Consider the following 23,177-nt stretch of genomic DNA (forward strand, 5'->3'; position numbering starts at 1 on the left):
ACATGGCTTAGAGGTGAAAAGCACCTAAATTATGTTGTGACTTTACAGCGACTCCATTTTCTTTCCTTTGGGTTTAGTTTTAAGCACATTTGGAAAGTAACCTTAGAAGTTTCATTCCAGTATCTTAGGCTTTATTGATCTTATCGATCTTTGATCTCTGTGTTTAGAACAAATAACAGAAGAAAAGGTGGAAGGCATATCAAAGATCTGTAGCAAGGTAACATTGCCTCCCAGAAGTGAGGGCATCAAAGCCGCCCTCTCTTCTGAGGTGTATGATTGATGTTAAAAACCCACCCCAAGGGCCCTATTGTACATCCATATACGTCCAACCCAATTAAGAAAGAGTATTTTCCCAAACATGAAATGGGCTTAGCAATTCTGAAGTAAAAAAAAAAAAAGAGTTAGCTATGGAGCACACGCATTCCGTTAGAAATGAGTCACTCTGCGAAGGTGTGTTTGAATGAGCAGCATTTCAGAAGGCCCGCACGGGGTACACCCACAGGATGGGACTGGAGACCCTGGGAAGGGCTGTGGGTCCAGGCGGATATGAGATCCGATCAGCCTGAAAACATGCTTCACAAACCAACCTGGGCACGACACAGAAAAGAGGCAAGACGTCGTAGGGCAGCATAAAAGATTTGTACCTTTCTCAAATAGCTTGGTACTTGGGACTCCAGAGCAGTTCTGAATGACCAGCTAGGGCAGTCACCCAATCCCCACTGGGCCCATCCAGGGCCATAACATGAATATTAAATCATTTGGAGGACAGGAATGTTCAATGACCTTGGCCAAATGTCATGACAGATTTTGGGGGCAGCCTTCTATATCCATTTGAGAAAGGACAAATACTCACTAGCACTAGACAGAAAACTGGCTGATTTAGCTTAGAACAGTGGCTACCATTGTAGCTCTTTCAGAACATCGAAAAGGAAGGTAAGTGGTTGGGGAAGGGCATCACGAAGGCTGCATCTATCCAAGGCTGGGTCAGTTATACATTGAGGTTTGGAGTCGAAATTTATTCTCACACACGTAGAGCTCCACAGATCTAATTAACAGTGTGGGAAATCTATTTTCATGTTTCACTCACACAGAACACATCTTCTCTGTCTCCAGGGGGTTTTCAAGTTCTAAACTACAATCAGCCCTTCTTTTAAAATAACAATAATAAATCCTCTTATTCAGCCAGATGGTGGTGTTTGTTGCACTAGGCTGGGTTCATAGTACAACATCAATAAATGGCCACTTGTAGAGGGACAGACAGAATCCCATTTATAAAACACACCTACACCTCCCTCCTTCTCCCATCCCAAAATGTGGCATTGTCAAAACTTCCCTGGGGGCTTAATCTCATTTTGGAGCAGAAAGGAAAACTAAAAAAGGCAAAATAATGTAACTAAGTGGAAAAACAATTTCTTGGGGGGAAATAGCACATTTAATCTCTGAGGAAAATGGTCATAGGTGGGTTTTTAAAAAGTGTTGTTTTGCCTTTAGGGACTGTTTGAAAGCAGGCTCTCAAAAGGATTTTCCCCAGTCCCTGGCAAGCTGTCTTGGTGAAGGCTGCACATTGTCAGCCAAAGATATTACAACCAGGAGATGGAGTTAAAATTCTTCCTCAGTGAGTTGGCTAAGTCTCATGAAACAAGTATTTGTTCCAATTAGGTGTTCCAAAAAGTCTTGATTGCCTTAGATAACGCATTTTGAGAAGGAAAGTGTGTTTGTTCAAAATCCATCGTGGAAGAATAAATGACGTACCGGTGTGTTCTGTTGCCAACGTACACATCCTCTTCACAGGCCTGGAGGACTCACACTCTTTGCTGCCTTGTCCCTATTTTCCTGGTCTCAGTCCTACCGGGGATGGGCAGTGGGAGTGGGGATGCTAACTAGTCTCTGCTCCTGCTCTTAATAAGCTATACTACCTGGTTATGCAACCCTAATCCATGTCCACAGTCCAGGGCTCAGACGGCTGGCCTGTCAGCAAAAAAATGTCTGAAAAATGTTAATTCAACAATGTTGGAGGGATGTTATTTCCAGAACTAAACTCCTCAGGGGAAATGAGAAATCATTGCTCCTGGGATTCAACTCCTCCACACTGAAAGATGTTTCTTTAATGATGCTTTCTTCCCAAAAAATTTCCCAATGCCTGGTGTGTCCTGACATTTGGTCCCAGTAAAATCCTGGAACAGACTCCTAGGATACAACTATCTTCAAACTCCATACAAAAGGAGTGTTTATTACAGAGAATCGGCATCTATTAGGGCATGAAACCTTGGGGGCTTGCTGGCATTCACTCCCCACACTGAATCGTTTCATAATATAGATACTATTTTCTTTTTGGCATTTATAGCAAGCAACTCAGTTTATGACCTAAGGCATTTTCCATACTTCCAGGCAATGAATACCAGCTTCCTATGAGTCTCAATAGCACATAATTTAAGACAGTGGGAAAGGGAGTTGGAGAATAGTTTCCAGTGCAAGAAAAATACCATGCAGATGTTTGCCCTTACTCTTGAATTCTGATGGTGAAATCGAGCATTGTTTATTTGTTCTGAAGTCCAACTCAAGAAATTTATTTTCTAAAGGCTGGGGTAGAGGTAGGGAGGTAGTGACATAAAATATTCCTGATACTGAAATATTCAACACATGGCCCTGGGAGTTTGAATCATAAAGTAATTTAGATCTTTCTAAGTGGTTCATTGTTTGATCAAATTTGGTATACCAGATGTCGATTCGTGTCACAGAACATGACATACCTAAAGAAATACCCAAGAACTACTTTGCTAAAATTGTGTATTCACCTTCTGTAATTTTTGTTTCCTCCAAGATAGCAAGCTAGGAATCAGTCCTCTATCTTGAGCCATTTATTGAGAACAAACAAATGAACTTGGAAAAGACATAACCGAATTGAATTTAAATACCTGACTTTGGTGTATGAGAATCATAAACTTGCTTACGGTCTATCTGGTCCGCAAACACTTCCCCATAAATCATCCAATAGGGCATGTAGAAGATGTTCTTGGCCAGTTTCCATGATGGCTCCTCATTGGGAAAAAGGATGGCTTGCCTGGCGACCCCAAAGCTCATCAGAACCACCAGCATAATGATGACAAAGTACATCATGTCTATCATCTGGAAGGGTGGGGAAGCAGAGGGAGAAACAAGAGAAAACCCATATGATTGAGTGTTCTTATAATTGCTGACAATGATGGGAACCTTTGGAGGAGGTCCACTTTCTAGACTGCTGGGAAGGGATGTTTAGACAGGGAGTTGTGTCCAGATAAGAAGATGCTTGGTCTGTTGAAGCCAGTGTCCACAGAATTCTATCAGTGACTCAAAAAACATTTCAAAAAGTGCACACACAGATGAAGCCTCTTCGTTTTTCATTGCTGTCTGTGGGACCGAGCATAGGTCCCACATAGGCTAGGCATAGGAGTCATATAAATGGAAGCTTAGGCCTCTGTGTGAATCAGGTGCTAACTTTTTCTCTGCTCCTGGGGGAGGCAAGTGTCCTCTTTGGGTCTCTTTCTTCTTAGAGAAACTGGAATTGGGAGAGTTGAACTATTCCAAGAGCGACTGCAATGCTGTAAACCTCCTTTCTAAGTTCTGAAAGGCTAATGAAAAATTGGAAAGCTCAAAAACAAAACAAAACAACAACAACAAAAACTGCCTATAAACGAAGCTAGGATAAACCAAATATCCATTATATTCTTATTCTTGTGGCCCCACCCCACTGCATAGTATTCTACCACCAACCAGTCTCTCAGAGAAAATGGCTGTTTGTATACTTCTCCTGCAGGGTATCCCATTGGCTATGGAGGGTGTTTTCTTGGGCATTAGAATCATGCACCCTAATGACTCAGACCTGTACCTGCTGTAGAAATGATGGATTTTCATCTTGACAGGTTTATAAAATCCTCCAGGCTGCTCTCTAATATAATGTTATCTCTTGTTCCTCATTCTTCCTTCTTTCCATGATGTATGTTATTTGGGATCTGTTTCTTATATGCCAAATTATTTTCCTTTTATCACTCAAAATATTAAATAGATGAGGATGCAATAACTATTGATTTTTTTTCTGGCCAGAACCCATTACCTCCTCCTTTTATAAACAGTTTCTACCCAGTATGGCCACAAGGTAGGTGTGTTTTCCAGGCTACGTTAAATATGATACTGGCCCCGGCAAGAGTGATAGAAGCAGGGATTTGACCAAGACAGGCCAACCAGAATCCTTGTATTGGCTTTGCTTTGTTTTGTTTTTAACTAAAGCTGGGAGAAAGAAGTTCCTTGTGTCTCTGTAATGGGGTGAGTTCATAGTATTTGTATCTGACGCTGAGTTCTCCGCCAGTGAAACTGATCAGAGTAAATGAAGCCGATTTGCAAGAGAAAGTGAGCAAAGCTTGACAGTGATTGGGTCCCTGTTTGCAGTAGCCCCTAAGGCCAGTTTCATTATGCCCTTCATAAGTCAATATATCCCTTCTAGGCTTAAGCTAGTTGGAGATTGGTTTCTATCGCTTGCATCAAAACATAGAATACAAAAGACTTTCTCTTAGATACCATACTTCCTGAAGGGATGCCCATCCACAAAAAAAAGCCTAATGCTAATTTTATCAATGATAATGGAGGCTTCAAATTAGTTTTACAATTTTTTAATTTTTATTTTATTATTATTTTTCAGATGGAGTCTCATTCTGTCACCCAGGCTAGAGTGCAGTGGAGCGATCTCGGCTCACTGCAACCTCAGCCTCCCGGGTTTAAGCAATTGTCTGCCTCAGCCTCCTGAGTAGCTGGGATTTCAGGTGTGCACCACCATGCCCCGCTAATTTTTTTGTATTTTTAATAGAGATGGGGTTTCACCATCTTGGCCAGACTGGTCTTGAACTCCTGAACTTGTGAGCCACCCGCCTCGGCCTCCCAAAGTGCTGGGATTACAGGTATGAGCCACTGTGCCCGGCCACGATTTTGTTTTAAAAGAGTGTCTGTTATTGGAATTCAAACATTATAGCCTTCCTTGTATGCCTTAGGACACTGGGGTCTAATCAATTTTCAAGGCAACTTCAAAATGCATCTCACAAGTGTTGCATGACTTAAAAACCAAACAGGAATATCTTAAAATCTGACATCCATTCATATTTTTAAATAGTCTTTAAAGTTGTATGCTAATTAGTTATTTCTTCTATAGTTTAGTGGTCTCAGAACTCTTTTAAAGTGAGCAAGCCAGCTGTGTTGAAAGTTTTATAGAAAACATGGGTCTGTTTTTCATCCTCTCTCTTATTTTATAAAATTCTTTCATCATTTATTTACAAAAAGTTCTATCAATGAAAAAGCACACATGGGTCCTTCATGTTGTGTTTATTTACACTGATTAAAAGATGGGTTGGGAGAGGAAGGTTTGTGCTCATGAGATTTAGAAGCTAGTTTGACCCAAGGAAACTCAGCCAGTAAATACAGAAACTGTTCTAATTTAATTTCTCAGGATTGTTTTTGTTCAGATTGATTGTGCTATCTATCCAAAGGGTCAAAACAATCAAAGAGAAGAAACATTTTTCCCAAACACTTAGCTTCATATATTTCAAAGAAGTCTTAGCTTTCATACAAATACCAAAATCTGATAGAATGCAGTGCAGAAATAGAGCATTATTAGTGAGAACTGGGGCTGGCCTCCTTTTTTAAAGCTAAATTATCCAGTCGGTTCAATATTAAGAGAGCTGATCCTGTCCTAATCTTGTAAATATCTTTCTGTTGTGTTCTACAGAGGAGAGTATATAATATATATTATATAATTTATTATATATAATGTAATATATAATACACATATATATAATATGCATTGTATAATATACATTATAATGTATAATGTATATATAATATATAATGTGTATATAATATATATTATATATACACTGCAGTGGTTAAACACATGTACTTAGGTGTCAGAATACCTGGGTTTTCATCTTGACTTTGCTAGTAAAAATAGCTACATGGAAAAAAACTCACACAAAACGAGTAAAAATAATTACAAAAACAAAATAAAGGCTTCCTAAATGTTAAAAAGAAAGAAAGAAAGAAAAAGAAATGTAGCTAGGTGGCCTCGGGCAAGCTGCTTAATCTTGTTTTATTTTATTTGTAAAATAGGAATAATAATACATTTATTTTATAAAGATTCAATGAGATGGCATGTGAAACAATGTGGTAAGTTCTCCATAAATGTTAATGTATTATTATTATTAGAGTTGGAAGGAGGTCAGGTTGTGGGGTCAGTTAGACAGAAATTTGAATCCTGTTATTGTCCCTTGATTAGTCTCTTATTCAATTGTTTAAATTATTAAACACAGATATGAAAACCTATTTCCGAGGGGGTATGATGATGACATGTCTGACATGGTATCTGGCACACAGCAAATGATAGCTATCATTATTGTTTTTATTCTGAATTATGTAAGTGAGCTTAGTACTAGGCTTAGAGAATTCCATTGAGAAGTGGAATATGGAGGAAAGGAGTCAGGATTTTGTTAAGTGATTCTGGGCCTGCAGCAGATCAATTGGAGTCTTTCCGGATATGCAGGCTTTCCATGCTGTGAGGCATTTGGTGTACTGGCTTCTTATATTATGCAAAGACTCATAGTACCAATTTCAAAATAGACTCCTAATGATTGTGTGTCCAGGAATCTCATCAGCTGTCTGTCCCTAGACCACAGGGCAGGGACTCACTTGGCTGTTTTGTGCTTAATGGGAACTCCCTAATGTTGAGAGGCTTTCAGTATAACACATCTGGGCACATTTTCTTAAGTTCCAGCCTGGTGGTCCATCTGACTCACTGATAAATTCTATAGGCATATTTTATCTGCCTTCTGGATCAGTGCATCAATTATTGAACTGATTATCTTAAAAGCCCCTTGAAAGAGAAGCAAAGTCCCCAAGTGTACTCATTTTGTACTTATTCTTGACTGATAAATGAAGTCATTCATAAGTTAAAAGGTAGAGAAAATGCAGTACATTCCTCTTGCACACTCCTGAGTAAGGTTTCATTCTAGTCAAAACTGGGATAATTATGCCATTATTAAGATGATAGACGTGGATTTTAAAATAATCTCGCTGCATTAGCATGACTTCAGTTATTCCAAGTATATAAATGCTACCCAGGCTTTAAAGGGTAATATATTTGGTTTGTTTGGGTCTTTTCAGATTTTATTTGTTAAAATAAAATAAGGTAGCAATCAGAAAAAACATCCAATCTGATTATGTAATCACAGAATGCAGTAATTCTCAACAGAGGCCAATTTCATTCCCTGAGGGACACGTGGAGATGTTTAGAGACTTTTTTGTAGTCATAACTGCGTGTGTGTGTGCACGTGTGCATGCTACTGGCATCCACTGGGTAGACACTGCTAAATATCCTATGATACACAGGACAGCTTCCTAAAATAAGGAATTATACAGCCCACGATATCAGCAGTGTCAAGGTTGAGAAAATGTGGCCTAATTTTATAGCTATTATAGTTCTTTGCTTTCATTGGGTCCACTTGAAAATACATTTGAGAATCTCATGAAAGCTTGTCCCCTCTGTCCAGAAAATTCACACACCCACACATTTTTATATATAAATTGCAGAGAGGGTCCACAGATCCTACCTCCTGAGCCCTATCCCTTGACTCTAAATCTAGACTCTCTGCTTTTAGACAGGAATTTTCACCACAATCTCAAATTCATTGTTAAAGTGCAAAGAAGATGATATAACAGGCAGTATAATGGAGTAAGATACACATTTTTTTCCTAGTCAAAAAATCCCCAATTGAACTGGGGTTCCGTTTTGGGTAAGTAACTCAAGCTCATGAATTCAAGTGTTTTTTCTCTCTAGAATGAGTTTGGTGATATTTGTCCTAAACAATGCTGGTGTTATAAATACCATTTGTACAGTAGGGTTAGGAATACAGCATAATAACTATACTCACCAATTTTTCCTTTCTTTCATTGTATTTAAAAAATGCAATTTGAACATAATGATAACAGATATAATTTGTCAACCACCAACTATGAGCCAGACACAGCTGGTCATTTAGTATGTATTATTTCTAATAATTACAACAATAACCCTATAAGATATGCATTTATTATACATCACTACTTTAGAAACAAGTAAACCAAGTCTCAAAGGGGTTTAAATAAATTGCTCAATGTGTTATACCCAATTCATTTTGAATTTGAATTCTTCCTCTCTTTGCATGAGTTTGTTAGTGATTTTGTAAGAAAAGTCGTGATTATTTAAGATTCATTTCAGTAGAGATACACATACATACATACACAGAGCTGTTCCATAAATATTGAGTTAGCAATGATACATATAGTAAATCTCAAGTAATAATAATAAAGAACATCAGCCAGGCATGGTGGCTCACACCTGTAATCCCAGCACTATGGGAGGCTGAGGCGGGTGGATCACTTGAGATCAGGAGTTTGAGACCAGCCTGGCCAACCTAGTGAAACCTCGTCTCTAATAAAAACAAAAAATTAGCCTGGCGTGGTGGCAGGTGACTGTAGTCCCAGCTGCTCGGGAGGTTGAGGCAGGAGAATTGCTAGAACCCAGGAGGCAGAGGTGGCACCACTGCATTCCAGCCTGGGTGACAGAGTAAAACACTGTCAAAAAAAAAAAAAAAAGAACATCTATTGACTAATCATTGGTTTCAATGGCTCATACAATGGAAGTGAAGTGAAAGATATTAGCAAAGAGGTTTTTCTTTTTCTGTTTTCGAGAAAAAAATACCTCACCGCAGTCTTGAACTCTGGGCTCAGGTGACCCTCCCACCTCAGGCTCCCAGATAGCTGGGATCACAGGCTCATGTCAACACACACCCTGTTAATTTTTCTTTTTCTTTTCTTTGAGACAGAGTTTAGCTCTTCTTGCCCAGGCTGGAGTGCAATGGTGTGATCTTGGCTCACCGCAACCTTGCCTCCTGGGTTCAAGTGATTCTCCTGCCTCAGCCTCCCGAGTAGCTAGGATTACAGGCATACACCACCATGCCCAGCTAATTTTGTATTTTTAGTAGAGATAGGGTTTCTCCATGTTGGTCAGGCTGGTCTCGAACTCCCGACCTCAGGTGATCTGCCCACCCTGGCCTCCCAAAGTGCTAGGATTACAGGTGTGAGCCACCATGCCCGGCCCTAATTTTTCATTAGTTTTTGTATCACCAGTGTCTCACTGTGCTGCCCAAGCTGGTCTCAGACTCCTGGGCTCAAGTAATCTGCCTGCCTCAGCCTCCCAAAGTGCTGGAATTGCAGGCATGACCCACTGTGTCTGACCAGGAAAAAGGTTTTTCAGTAAGAGGTGTTCGTCATGGTAGGACAGATGTACTTAGCTTTTCCACATATATCTTGTAAAGATGAAGTAGGGGACACACTTAGAAAACTGGGAGAACTGATGAAAAGTACCCAGTTCTGGCTTCAGGCTCTGATTCTTCCTCTAGTGAGTTTTGAGAGGGAGCTTGTTTACTGATGCATTCCCAGATTCACACTGATGCTGTTCTCCTAGGGTTCAGTCTCTACGGAAAAAGTCTGGAAACTGGTGTGTGGTCAAGGACTATTGGAACAAGTCCTTGGCCATTTGTAGGGAAGCATATTAGCTTGTTACTTGGGATTTTTTCTTCAAGAATTCGATAAGAAGGAGCATCATTCTGGAAGCTAGTTCTTAACAGACATCATTTTCCAGTAGTGTAACAAACACATGATGCATGATAGAACTTAATGTTCAGTTCAAACCCAACTCAACCCAACTCAAATCAGCACAAATAAATTATGTTTTTCTTCCCTTTGTGTAGGGAAAGGCATTTTTCTAGAACTTTATTTAAAAATACAGGATCTTCAAAAAATCTGTTAAAAATTTGTAGTGGAGACCCATTCCTTCTCCAACACCCAGCTAAAATGTAACCTCTGTGTGCTTTTTCTGACCTATATTATCTTTTCTGTGGTTCTGTTGTACTTTATACACATCTCTATTACAGCATTTTTCACATGGTGTGGTAATTCCTCCCTCCCTCTCTCTCCCATCAATTTTAATCTCATGGAAAGAACATCTTTGTATACCCAACTCCTAGTCCAGTGTCCAGCATAAAATAGATGATCTTATGTATTTTTCAGTAAATGAATGAGTGACTGATGGATAAATTCTCCAGTTTTGTATATAGATGTAGTCAAACCCCCAAACATTCAAAAGGAATTCATAAAATAAAACACCTCTAGGGCCATCTCATTTAGACTTTGATAGCAGGCCCAAATGAATTATTTCCCTCTATCTATTATCACCATTCCTCCTCTGAAAACTTATAACATGGAATCAGAAGACCCTGCTTACCATTTTTCCAATCATCATTACATACGGGCCCAAATACTTGTTCACGCCGAAGATGTCTAGGAGACGGATATACCAGTAAATGATGTTCACGCAGTAGATGACCCTCCCGTCACTCCTGAAGGGCTGGTCTTGGAGACGAAGGATCATTCCGACAGAAAACAGAAGGATGGCGATGAGGTCCGTGACATTCCAGTACTCCTGCAGCCATACCTTCACTTTCTGTAGCAACTTCCCTGGCTCTGACATCAGAATCTATAAGGCAGGAAGGAGAGCAGAGTTAGGTCTGGTTTCTGTCTGTATTTTCAGCCCAGTTGGGAAGTGCTTGGTCTGTTGGCTGATGTTAGTAGCTTGCTTTGTCTACCTATATCTACTTAAATACTTGCATGCTGTAAAAGTCCGACTGAGCTAAGCTTAGGTGATTATTCAGCTGCAATATTCCAAAGGCACATATAAGCAATAATTTTGATTCTTTGGGTGGTGGTAAAATTCTAAGACACACATAAGAGTTTTGCTATAAAATGATTCAATCCTAGTATGCTGCAAATCTCTGAAGTCTTCCTTCATCTCAGTAAACAGTGCCACCATATTGAGTTCCTCAGGCTGTTCACTTGGGAAGACTCCTCCATTTTTCTCTTTCACATCCCACATCCTCTGCACCAAGTCCTATCACCTCTATTTCTAAATGCAACCTAGCCAACTACTTCTCACCACCTCCACTGCTGCCTCCCTATTCTAAGCTCCATCACATCTTACAGATTGCAGCAGCCTTCTAACTGGTATCCCCATCATCGTCATTGCCCACTTACCCTCAACCCATTCTCTGAGCAGCACAAATAATGATCTTTAAAAGCCTGGATCTTTAAAGATCTGGCTGGCAATTACCAGGTTATATGCATAGGTAAAAACTCTTCAAGCTGCACCCTTAGGAGTTGTTCAATTATAGATAAATTATACCTCAATTAAAAAAAAGACTTAGGAGACAAATGAACAACAACAACAACAGAAACTAAAGCAAATGATCATAATTGTATGCTTAAGCTTTCTGATGACTTCCATTACAAATAGTGAAAAATCCAAACTCCTTATGGTCGCCTCATTTCACGTCCCATCATATTCTCCTTTATTCTCTACCCTGCAGCCATACTGGTCATCTCTTAAGCATAACAAGTTTATTCGATATTCAGGATGCTTGTACTTATTCCTTCTGTTCAGCACTTTCTTCTCCCAGATCTGTATTTGGCTCCTCTTCATCTTCAAGGTCTCTGATCAAATGTCCCCTTTTTAGGAAGGCCTTTTTTGATTACTTTAGCTGCAGCTGACTTCATGTCCCCAAGTCACTCTCCAATACATTACCCTATTTATTTTTTTGAAGTTTTTATCACTATATGAAGTTATCTACTGTAGCTTTTATATGTATGTGTGTATGAGTATGTGTGTCTGCCTATCAATCAATTGATCAATCATCTATTTATTCATCTGTCCATCCATTCTTCTCTCTTTCCTAGACTGAAACTCTGAGGGCAGACCCTTTGTACCCCAGGCCTGTTACATAATAGAAACTCAATACATATTTGTCAACAGACTGACTGTTGTGTAGGCACTAACAGCAATTTTCCAGTTCCTTGCATATCCTAACTCCTTTGTGGGACTCTTGCCTTACCTTAAACTTAGAGGGGCTACCACACATGGGTCTATGAAATGCACAGCTGGACAGCAGAAGTTGCACCCATCCTGCATCACAGACCACCCCAGGATGTGAGAAGCCAGGGAATGCCACTTAGTGAAGCTGTGCACCAGGGCCACCTTCCTCAATTGCTGGTGTTTACCTCTGAGGATTCCATCTCTTCAAACCATGACCAACCCCTTTCCCCACCTCAGAACCTCTCAAAGGAGAGGAGAGAAAAGACTGGAGGCAGGTCTATATCCAGCTATTTGTGTGAATCCTCATGTCCACTATAATGATTTACCTAATTCTGAAATACTAAGGAAGACAGGTTTTCGTAAGTCAGGGCTGGGACTTGGAAGCTGAGCAGGGTACCAGGAGCTACCCAAGAGCCCTATTTTTCACAGGCAGTGTCCTGCCCTAAGCCCTAGCCCAGGGTTTCTAAACTTCAGTGCACATCAGAATCAGCTGGAAGGCTGGGTAAAATATAGATGCTGGGCCCTCAGTCTGGAGTTTCTGCTTCAGGAGGCTGGGGGTGGGGTGGAGGATTTACATGTGTAACAAGTTCCCAGCTCCTGCTGGTGGCCACAGTTTGAGAACCACTGCCCTAGTCATCAGCAATCTCTGCAGCTGGTGTTGTCCTGATGGCTTCTCACTCCCTGGCTGCATCTTAACAGAGCAAAAATCCGTGTATGTAGCTGGGAGAGGGGGTTGATGGGCAATGCCTTGAGCTTTTCCAACCCTTTGCTCACACTTTCCTAAAACTGCTAAACACAGAGGTTTGTAGTATCATTTTTAAATAGTGAAGCATTTTTTGGTAAAGTCCCAACATTAAAAAAGAGATGAGAGCAGAACAGTCCGGGGTGAGGCAGAAGTGGAAAGTCAAGAATCCCCCCTGCCTCCTCCACCTCTCGAACCAGCCCTCAGGCACCTGTCTTAGAACCCTGGGAGCCTGAGGAGCATCGTGGGGGAGTAGAAAGAGCAGTGAGTCTAGGGACGGATCTGTCAGGTTGCATACTCAGTTGTCCTTTCTAGCTGTGGGATACGGGGAAATTGCTAAAACCCTGAGTCTCAGTTCCCAGACCTGTGCAGTGGGACGTCATCATAGTCACGCCATCGACCTCACAGAGTTGTCGGCGGGGGTAGGATCCAGATGAGATAACGTCTACCCACGCATGCTGTAAACAGTGCCATGCTATTAAGGGATTACCGGGGCTTGCTTTGGTGACTCCGGGCAGAAGTATGTGGGGCTGGGAATGGGGGTATCATGGGAAACCACAAAGCCTTCCTTTTGTGTATCCCTGGGAAGGCACCAAAGCATGCAAACTTTTCCACATTTCCAGGATCTTGCGTCTGAGCCCTGGAGGTCCTGCGTGCTGACTGTGAAGAGGCAGGAAGGGCATGGCCTGTGGGGTCCTCACCCTTTGGTCGTCAAGCAACTCTTCAGTGAGTTCAGGGCAGGACACAGGGGTTGGGGCGCCGCCTCACTGAGCCGCAGAGGAAAAGGTCAGACTCGGAGGTGGTCACCGCCTCACTCCCCACGGGAAGCGGGAATCTTCAGTTGACCCCTTCCTGACTCCAGCCTCCAAAGCCCTGCCCTCCCTGCTATTCTATGCCTCTTCAGGAGAAATGGATATCCAGGCCTCGAGGCTCCTGGCAGCCTGCCCGTTTGGCAGCCTCTGCCAGAACAGTCCGTGGAGTACAGACTGCTCCCTGTCTTCTCCCAGTCTGGTCCCTGGAGAGACTCCAATCTCCCTGCTCGAGTCCTTCCCTTTTCTGCTTATCATGGGGAAGGAATATGCGTCTAGGCGTTAAATCGCTCGAGTGCCAGCTGGCACAGCACAGCCACAGGGCCCCAGCAGGAGCGGGCCTCAGTTCTCAGAGAGCTGCACAAAGACCAAAGCAAATTTATTACTGTTTTTCAGTTTACAAATGGGAAATCCACAACATTGGTCAAGAAGAAAAGGCACCATGAATGGGAAGACCGAAGTGCAGACAACCAGCTGGAACAAGGCAAGGCATTCCTTTTTTTTTTTTTTTTTTAAATCCAGGCTCTTGTAAAATGAGACTAGCAGAGCCATTCCCAAGTTCTCAGGATGGGGAGATGGTAGTCAGAGTTAAAATATCACCCAAATAGTTTAAAAACTCAAGAGAAGGGCTTAAGAGATAAGACATTTTTTATGATCCCAATACAACTGCATCTAACAGATACTGCATCTTTTCTCTGGAAGAGAACATTATAGAGCTGAAACCCTTGCCTTTTAACCTGTCTTTGTAATGAAGGCAAGAATGAAGTTGTGGATTTGTAGGAGTCCTTTTTTCCTATGGTGCCCAGTATGTTTTCCCACCCACTGCAGTACAGCAATTAGGGTTGTTCTTGAGCTCTTAAAGACCCAGTGGACTTGAACGGGAGCATTTCTTCCAGAAAGGGCCTGTCCTGCTTACTGTCATTTCAGGAAAAATGCAGAGAAATCAGCACTACCTCCTAAGCCTGCCTTCCTAATGGCTTTCCCTGATGAAATAGGAGCTTGTGGTGAACATTGAGTGGGGCTGCAGAGCCCTCTTGTGGATTTTCGCTTAATCACATTCTTTTTAGCAGCTCTGAATCTGATGGGCCCCTGAGGTTAGCTCTGATTTCAAATAAACCATTTAGGGGTGGCATTTTGAAGGCTCCTTTTAGGCCATAGAAGTGGGGGGAGAAAAGAGGGACCCTGCACTCACAACCTGAAGGATCTGTGTTCAGTTCACCTTGGTGGTCCCTCCTGCTGGCAGAGTGGTTGGTGCCCAGCAGGTACGAGCAGAATGTTAAGAAATAAACCAGAGAATAAATCCAATCAGTGAGTGAAAGCAGAGTTCCTCCTAAAGCAGCCGAAATACATCCAGAGAGTCACAGGTATTGGCAGACTGTGTCCGAAGACACCCAGAATAAGGGGGAGAAATGGGAGTTAAAAGTGGCAAAATCTAGAAAGTCATGTTTATAGGGATGAGGCATCAAAAACAACTAGAGGCCTTCTTGGGACAAAGGCTACGTTAGCAGAGAATAGACCAAATCCTAAGCACTCAGGGAGTTACACCCCTATAAGCACCACACTGTGAAGCCTCCCCAGGTTTGTCAGAGGAGCAAAGAAGCAGCTGTGGTAGAGTTAGAGAAAACAGTTTCCGGCTTAATTTGCATCCCAGGCATCTTCCTGTCCCCTCCATCCACAGATAGAACTTAACCACTGTCTTTCTCTTACGTTTTCTTTTATAAAAGCCGTTACCTCTCTCATCTTTTCTATTCCCAGGGTGAAAATATAGGAGATTACGATCCATTCCTGGGTGGACGGCCAGCGTTCCATCTTCACTAACACGATATAGTTGAAGAGCATCAGGTATCCGATATACGCCAGCTGTAAGGAGACACAATACAGTGCTCTGGCTGTTCAGGCCCAGGAGCCCCAGCATCAGCCAAGGCCACTGCACAGCAGCACAGAGCAGGGTCAGCAAGCAGGACACAGACTTTATGACAAAAGGAACTTGAAGGTGCTAAACTAACAAAAGAATTAGAAAAGACAGTAATACTTGAAGGATTATAATATGCAATCTTCCTTTTGACCTGTACATGTATCTCTGGGGCTCTGGTGCTTCGTTTAAATCTATGTGTCATGATGCATCATTTCGCCTTGCAGTTACCCATTTTTGTGTGTTTTCTTGGCTAAAAAGGGAGCCTTGGCTGTCAGTGGCGGCTCTTGCTCAGGCGTGGACCTTAGGTTCTTAAACTAGGGCAGCACAGTGGATTTTTGCCTCACGAATGCCAGGCAGAATAAGTGTCTGTGAGAAGCAAAGGAAGAGGAAGACACATGTAACACCTGTAAATTGGTCAAACCAACATAAAAATAGCCCAGGCTTAAAGTGCTTCGCTTGTCAGTGCCCTGGGAGGGTCTTACCTGTTTTCATTTCACCACTTTCCTGTCCTAATCAAGTTAAGATAAGATATTCCTTCCTGGTGTCTGCTTCATTGAAACAACACAAGAAAAGACAACACAGTTTACAGAAAGGAAAGGGTCCGTGTGGCCTTTTGTGGACGGGTGTGGGGTTTAATCCCCAAGAGGCTCTGGCTCGTGGGGTTGAATCCTGATGTGACTGGCTGAATTGCTGGATGTCTGGGAAGAACTCCCTAGGGTTTGGTGACTGCTCCTGGAAGATTCAGTTGTGTCAAGGTGAGTGAAGTGCAGGGAAACTGGTGGCTCTTGCATAAGGGGCTGAGGAGCCTTGAGAGAAGACTCACTCACCTTAAGGGAAATGGCAGACTAGCTGGGCCTTCCTTACACAATGCCTCAAGTCAAGTGAGGTACTCACTGGCCTTAGGGGCCTCAGGGGCTGTGAGCAGGAACCAAGAGGGAGTTTATTAACTAAAATCTGCTGCACTCTTCAGAGTGGTGTAGCAAAGAATAGACACAGTGTGGGTGAAAGGATTGAGGCCTTGAGGGGTCTGGAGGTACTGCATGACTTTGTAGCTGGGAAGGCAGCTTAGAAGGTGGAGGAAGCTGCAGCCTTGCTGGGGGATATGCTGCTTTCTCTACTAATTCTCTTATGTTTTGGGACAGGGTCTCACTCTCGTCACCCAGGCTGGAGTGCAGTGGCATTGTGATCTCGGCTCATTGTAGCATTGACTTCCTGGGCTCAGGTAATTCTCCTACTTCAGCCTCCTGGGTAGCTGGGATAACAGGCACGTGCCACCACACCCAGCTAAGTTTTTGTATTTTTAGTGGAGACAGCATCTCACTTTGTTGGCCAGGCTGATCTCAAACTCCTGGGCTCAAGAGATCCTCCTATCTATCTTGGCCTCCCAAAATGCTGGGATTATAGGCATGAGCCACCATGCTCAGCTGAATGGATTCTTCTTTTTTTTTGGAGACTGAGTCTCACTCTATTGCCCAGGCTGGAGTGCAGTGGTGCGATCTCGGCTTTCTGCAAACCTCTTCCTGGGTTCAAGCGATTCTCGTGCCTCAGCCTCCGGAGTAGCTGGGATTACAGGCACCCATTACCACGTCTGGCTAATTTTTGTATTTTTAGTAGAGACTGAGGTTTCATCATGTTGGCCAGGCTGGTCTTGAATTCCTGACCTCAAGTGATCTGCCCGCCTCGGCCTCCTAAAGTGCTGGGATTACAGGTGTGAGCCACTGCGCCTCGCCTAAATAGAGTCTTAATATGACTCCAAGGTATCTCTGAGACCCCATCACACTGACACATTTGCAGACACAACTGTTGCACAAAAGTCCCTCATCTCTTAAAGGGTGAAGTATGTCGGAGTTAAATAAGATCACTTATGAGAGCTGGATATCTGGGCTCACTCTCTACATGCATGGTTTGTGCTGGCACACCCCCACCCCCACCCCCAGGGGCCTATCATTTCAACCTATGCCTAAGTTCCTACCCCTCCCCATCTTCAGGAGCATTGGCAAATCATGAAAACTTCTCATGAAGGAGTTTACTTAAAATTGTGTAGGACGCTGTTTAAAAATCAGTTCAAAATGGAACTTGGTTCATATGGTTTCCGTTTACCATTATTATACACTGGCATTAATTCTGTAGTCCTGTGAGTACAGACTGCAAAAAACAAAAAAAGGACTTTAGTGGTTAAAACTCTAAAATATACTCTCAGCCTCCTTCTGACTTGAACTCTTTCCCTCTCCTTGTTGCTTCCTTCTCTTAGTTGGGTCAAATTCCATCACTTGTAGGTGAAATGAATATTGTTAACTGCCCTGGTTTTATCATTTTGCCCAAATGATTGCAAAACATTCCAAAGCATTATCTTCTCTTGTCATATGTAGGCCTAGTGACATGCACATTCTTCCAGAACCTCTGCATTTTAATACTTAAGTAACTCCTTAAACCTATTTTAATGCTTAAGTAACTCCTTGAACCTACATCTGTCCTCTGAATACAAGTCTAATGTGTTCAGTGGAAGGAAGGTAGGCATAGATATCAGTGAAGCTTGGATTTAAATCTCAGCTCACATACTTCCTAGCTGTATCACCTTTTGTAATGTTAACCTGCCTGGGCCTCCATTCTGTAACATGGGATCACTTCCACTTTCCTTATAGGGCCTTTATAATGACTGGGGATCTATATATCTATCTATCTGTCTGTCTGTATCTCCCAACACACTGTAGAGGCCCAATAAATGCTGGCTGATATTATTCTGTTATTCTTTTTGTCTCCTCTTCCCTTAGTCCTTACTTCCCTTTGATCCCCAATTAACTGTTCACACCTCTCTTCTTTTTTTTTAAATTGCCCTCATTATTGGTTATGTTTCCTCCACTTTCATCATTTTTAGCCCCTGCCTGTTTTTTACATCACAGTTATTCTATAATGAACTTTTCCCATAGTCAAGCTATAATATAATATTTTGGGACAACTCTCAAAATACAGACTTCTGAAAATAGGGTCTTATGTTTAGATGGCATAACAGAGGACTGGCTGCTGTCCTGGAAGCAGCCTATCATAGAACTCACCAACATTCATGCAGCCTTGCTGTAGATTATCTTGACATGACATGCTTTAATTGTGTGTGTGTGTGTGTGTGTGTATATATATATATATATGTATACTCTGTAAGGTTTAGCAACCTGTATGTAGAATTTCCAAGCTTTTGAACCTGTGAGTCTTATTTAAGTAAGTCAGTAGGAGAACTCTAAGAATTTGTATTTTATTAACATATATTCTTTCTATGCATTTTCCATTAACTAAGATTCATGCTTCTTAAACTAACTATCAAACACAAGCACTAAAGCCTGACACAGTTTGCTATGGATCCCTGGTGGGGCTTTGCTCTTCCTCACTTCTTCCTGGGCCTTTTTCTACTACCTCTGGAGAGCAGAGGGGCACATGGTCTTGTAGAGGATAGAGTTGGTCACTACTAGAGAAACTCAGAGCACACACTGTGTCCTCTGACCTGCAGCCACTTCACACCTTGAATTTGAATCCTCTCCAGATGGATACCTGAAATAGGCTCTCAAAACAAGCAGGGTCTAGGAGCCAGTTGGACCCCTGCCTCCTTTCTTCTTGGACCAGAAGAGGACCCAATCTGCTCCTAGAGAAACTTGCTACGATGCAGAAGTGAGGTTATATGGAAATGAAGTGTGTCCTACCTTTCAGAAACTTGGGAGAGTAGGAGAGACCATTTTTGAAAATCTGGTGAGAAATACTCTTACAGAGAAAAACACAGCCCAAAGCACATGGGACCTTCAATCTGAAATTGAATTGTACTGTTAAGCATGTCTGGTGATTCAAAAGACTGGCATACCTTATTTCCAGTCACTTCCTCGAGGCCTGGGCTTTGTCAATATGTGAAGATGAATTTTGGAGAATCATGTAAACACAATTGAACAGATCTGGGGGATCCAGTCTGATGGGTTTGCTGAGGCCAATCCAGTCAGCCACGCAGAAGTGTGCTGGACACACAGGCCCCACCACCCCCCGCCAAAGAGGCAGCCTCCCAACAAGCTGCCAATGACATAAGCAAAGCAGCGTGTCTCAAGTGTCTCCAATCATAAGATTCGCCTGGGAAGCTGGTTAAACTAACACAGCCTCTTAGGCTCCTTCCTGAAGACTGGATTCCATGGGTCTATGATGGGGCTAGAAATTTGCATTTCTAACAAAACTCCCTTGTCATCATGGACGTTTTAGAGATATTGATACTATTATTTCTACTGATTTCTGCTCTCGGGAGTCTGTAAACTTTTTCTGCAAATGGCCAACTGGTTAACTTTTAAGGCTTTGTAGAACCGATAGTCTCTCTCTGTCTCTCACTACTCATCAACTTGATGTGGTAGCACAAAAGCAGTCAGTCAGCCTATTGCTAATGGTAAATGAGATTTAGCCTAAAGCTGCCTCCTTAAGTTCGGCCTGAAGTTTTCTCTGTACATTGTGAACTATAACAAATGAAGGTGTAACAAGACCAATCACCGAGTTTCGGTCAATCAAATGTAGCCAACTGCTCAAACTGTGTTCAAATAAGGCAAACGCTGAGCTGTAACCAATCCAGCTGTTTCTGTACCTCACTTCCGTTTTCTGTATGCCACTTCCCTTTTTCTGTCCATAAATCTTCCACCACGTGGCCCTGCCAGAGTCTCTGAGCCTACTCTGGCTTGGAAGACTGCCCAATTCACGAATCGTTCATTTGCTCAATTAAACTCCTTTAAATTTATTCGGCTCAAGTTTTTCTTTTAACAGAAATCAAGAGTCTGCCTGTGTTCCAATTATTTATGGACACTAAAATTTGAATATGTGTTTCAAGTATTCCTTTTCAAATTTTATTAAAAATGTAAAAACCATTCTCAGTTCGCAGGCCACAATCACAGGCCATGGGTTGAATTTGGCTCAAAAGCTGTAGTTTGCCAAGCCCTGTTCTAAGCTAACAGTTGGGGAATCATAATATAAAAGGAAGGACAGACCTGGGTGTGAAATAGCTGCAAAAATATTATCTCGGGCTGGGCGCAGTGGTTATTGCCTGTAATCCCAGCACTTTGGTAGGCTGAGGCAGGCCCATAGCTTGAGGCCAGCAGTTCAAGACCAGCCTGGCCAACGTGGCAAAACCCCATCTCTACTAAAAATACAAAAATTAATTAGCCAGGTGTGGTGGTGAACACCTGTAATCCCAGCTACTCGGGAGGCTGAGACATGAGACTCACTTGAATCCAGGAGATGGAGGTTGCAGTGAGCCAAGATTGTACCACTGCACTCCAGCCTAGGTGACAGAGTAAGAGTTTGTCTCCTAAATAAATAAATATTATCTTGATAAAATAGTTGTTAGGATTACAAAGAGTACTTAAATAATAGTACCTAGAACATTGCCTCAAACTTAGTAGGTGCTCAATAAAAGAAAGATATTATTTTTGTTGAGTGGATGTATGAACACAACACTGATTATCTATTGCTGGGCAACGTGAATAGCCTAGAAGAAACAATAGTCACAGTTACATTGTACTTATATGTCAAGGAACTGTTCTAAGTGCTTTACATGTTTTAACACATTTAATCTTGATTAAATCCTATAAAATCGGAACTACTATTATTGGCATCTTAAGAAAACTGTGGACAGAAGGGGAAATTAAGTTGTTTGAGGGCACATGGTAAGAGGTGCAGATGGGATTCCCACCCAGGCTGTCTGATTCCAAAGTCCATGCTTGTCACCACTAAGCTGTTTTCTGCAAGGTTAAAAATAATATAGAGCTGTATAAAATATATGAATAGAAACGATTTTTGCATGCCTCAGTTATTTTTGGGGGGAGAGAATTTTTCTCTTTTCCTAACATTGATAAATTTGAATTTTTACCTCACTGAAAACATCTAATATTTACATTTCGATAATATCCTATCTTTTCTCAAGACCACACTTTAAAGTGGTAGTTTCCGAATGGTGGCAATTTTATCCCACAAGGGAACATTTAGCAATGTCTGGAGACATTTTGATTGTCATACTTGGGGGATGAAGAGTTGCCACTGAGTAGAGGCCAGGGATGCTGTAAAACATGCTACCTGTTGGGGACAGCCCCCCACAATGAAGAATTATCCTGCCCTAAATGTCAATAGCACTGAAGTAGAGAAACCCAGCTTTAAAGTCAATGTTAAGTGTTAGCACACAGGACCACGTGAAAAGCACCTCATCTGGTCATTTGAGTCATTTTGGCCTCAGATTCAGATTATCCTGTTGCTGACTCAAATGACTGCTACGCAGCTGGTTGTGGAAAGGGCTAAAAATACAGATGCACTATCCTTCATCTGGCACAGTTCCACCGTGGCTGGAAAGAATTGGAGATGACCTGGGCCAAAAGCTCATCTTAAAAAAAAAAAAAATCACTGAACAGTAGAAGTAGAGAACCAATAATTGAACAATTTCTACCATATCAGGAGGTCGTCATTTCAGGGACAATCCACTCTTTTGTAGGCAGAAATATTTACAGGATGTGCAAACTAAACAATATTTGCCTTTGAGTAGTTTTTGCTGCTGTGGTTTGCATATTGTTAATTGTGTTGGAACAAGAAGGGTTGTTTGATGACACTAGCAGACTGTGAGTAGTTACACATGCACACACACGCATGCATACACACACTACCTTCTTTAGTGGTGTTACCTCCACACTCTCCTCACTCCTTACCCACCAAAAGTACCCCCAAATCCGGGACTGACATCTAAAATGGGCAACTGTGATCTAGCCCTTATCCATTCAAAACAAGGAAGTATTTCGGAAAAGAACATCTACTTTCCTGTTAGGCAAGACTCATACTCATCTCACCTCTATTACTGTTAGTTCTCACCTCCACCATTTCCTTTATTTTCTGAGAGGAGGCAAAATGTGGCCTGTGAAAGCTGCCTAACAAACGCCACAAATCTTGCAGAGCTATTGAAAAAGCAAGGTCACAGAACTTTCACTCCTGTGTGTGGCACTTACGACTTGCAGAGAAAACCACACAGATGCATGAGAAATGGACGTTGGCTCCTTGTGGCCATCCACTAGGAAGGAGAAAAGGAAATGTGCTTACTGTGTAGAACCAGAACTTCACGATGGGTGCATTGTAGAATTCATAGATTTTTCTGCCGAGGGGGATTAACCGGTGCTTGCTCTGAACTTCCTCTTCATCCTTCTTCCTGGAGGACTCCCCGTTGTTTCGTCCCAACATTGCCTATGTTGGAAGAGAATCGATACCATCATGACAGGGCTCTGGAGAGCATGTTGTTCAATGTGCTTACTTTACAGATGAGGAAAGGATGCTCATAGAACCTAAGAACCCAAGGCCCCAGAGATTTAGAGGTTGTACCTTCCCTAAGAGTGCATTTGCACTACACGTATAATCTGTGAATACCCTTTGCCTGAGATGGAAGGCCTTGGGTGTATTTCTTGACCATTCTCTTCTCTTCCACCCTGGGAATTCTAGAAGATGTGGGTTATAGATGATACCCAGAGTCCAGAGAGGAAGAAACAGTGTAGCCTGGGAAGGCCAGGCTTCAGGAATCTATTCTTCCTCCCCACCTGCTCTCTTTCTATATATCATGAAACAGGCTAGATCTGGGTTCAAATTCTGTCTCTTCAGATGATAATGACCCTTAAAGGTAAATTGGACCAGCATACCTAATTTATCCAAAGGTTGTGAATACTCAAGAGGTAAATTATCTGCTGTGCCTGCAATTAG

At 42.1% G+C, this 23,177-nt stretch overlaps 1 protein-coding gene and 1 long non-coding RNA gene across 20 annotated transcripts in view, besides 3 other annotated features; one reads left to right on the forward strand and one right to left on the reverse strand.

Annotated features, from left to right (window-relative positions):
- Nucleotides 1-23,177, reverse strand: part of TRPM3 (transient receptor potential cation channel subfamily M member 3) — a 917,912-nt gene that overhangs the window by 59,020 nt on the left and 835,715 nt on the right. For all 19 annotated transcript variants that reach the window (NM_001366143.2, NM_001366141.2, NM_001366142.2 and 16 more), the window contains 4 exons: nt 22,530-22,670; nt 15,263-15,391; nt 10,340-10,591; nt 2,952-3,126 (listed from right to left, as the gene is read on the reverse strand). In NM_001366143.2, coding sequence (NP_001353072.1) covers nt 2,952-3,126; nt 10,340-10,591; nt 15,263-15,391; nt 22,530-22,670 — 697 coding nt within the window. The remainder of the gene's footprint in view (nt 1-2,951; nt 3,127-10,339; nt 10,592-15,262; nt 15,392-22,529; nt 22,671-23,177) is intronic.
- Nucleotides 12,689-13,888: an enhancer, noted in NCBI's record as "BRD4-independent group 4 enhancer chr9:73215684-73216883 (GRCh37/hg19 assembly coordinates)". NCBI's record gives its function as "activates an origin of replication core promoter dependent on BRD2, P300/CBP, MED14 and CDK7 cofactors, and independent of BRD4, by STARR-seq in HCT116 cells {active_cell/tissue: HCT116}" and the evidence as "EXISTENCE:reporter gene assay evidence [ECO:0000049][PMID:35650434]".
- Nucleotides 12,689-14,078: a biological region, named in NCBI's record as "BRD4-independent group 4 enhancer GRCh37_chr9:73215684-73216883".
- Nucleotides 13,578-14,078: an enhancer, noted in NCBI's record as "H3K4me1 hESC enhancer chr9:73216573-73217073 (GRCh37/hg19 assembly coordinates)". NCBI's record gives its function as "activates a minimal SCP1, AML or CMV promoter by ChIP-STARR-seq in naive H9 embryonic stem cells {active_cell/tissue: H9 hESC(naive)}" and the evidence as "EXISTENCE:reporter gene assay evidence [ECO:0000049][PMID:30033119]".
- Nucleotides 13,876-20,193, forward strand: LOC107984011 (uncharacterized). The gene is made up of 3 exons (XR_007061572.1): nt 13,876-16,201; nt 16,589-16,668; nt 18,979-20,193. It is a non-coding gene; the product is annotated as an uncharacterized LOC107984011 (long non-coding RNA).

This window comes from Homo sapiens, chromosome 9, assembly GCF_000001405.40.
Source record: "Homo sapiens chromosome 9, GRCh38.p14 Primary Assembly".
In the NCBI taxonomy this organism is placed as follows: domain Eukaryota; kingdom Metazoa; phylum Chordata; class Mammalia; order Primates; family Hominidae; genus Homo; species Homo sapiens.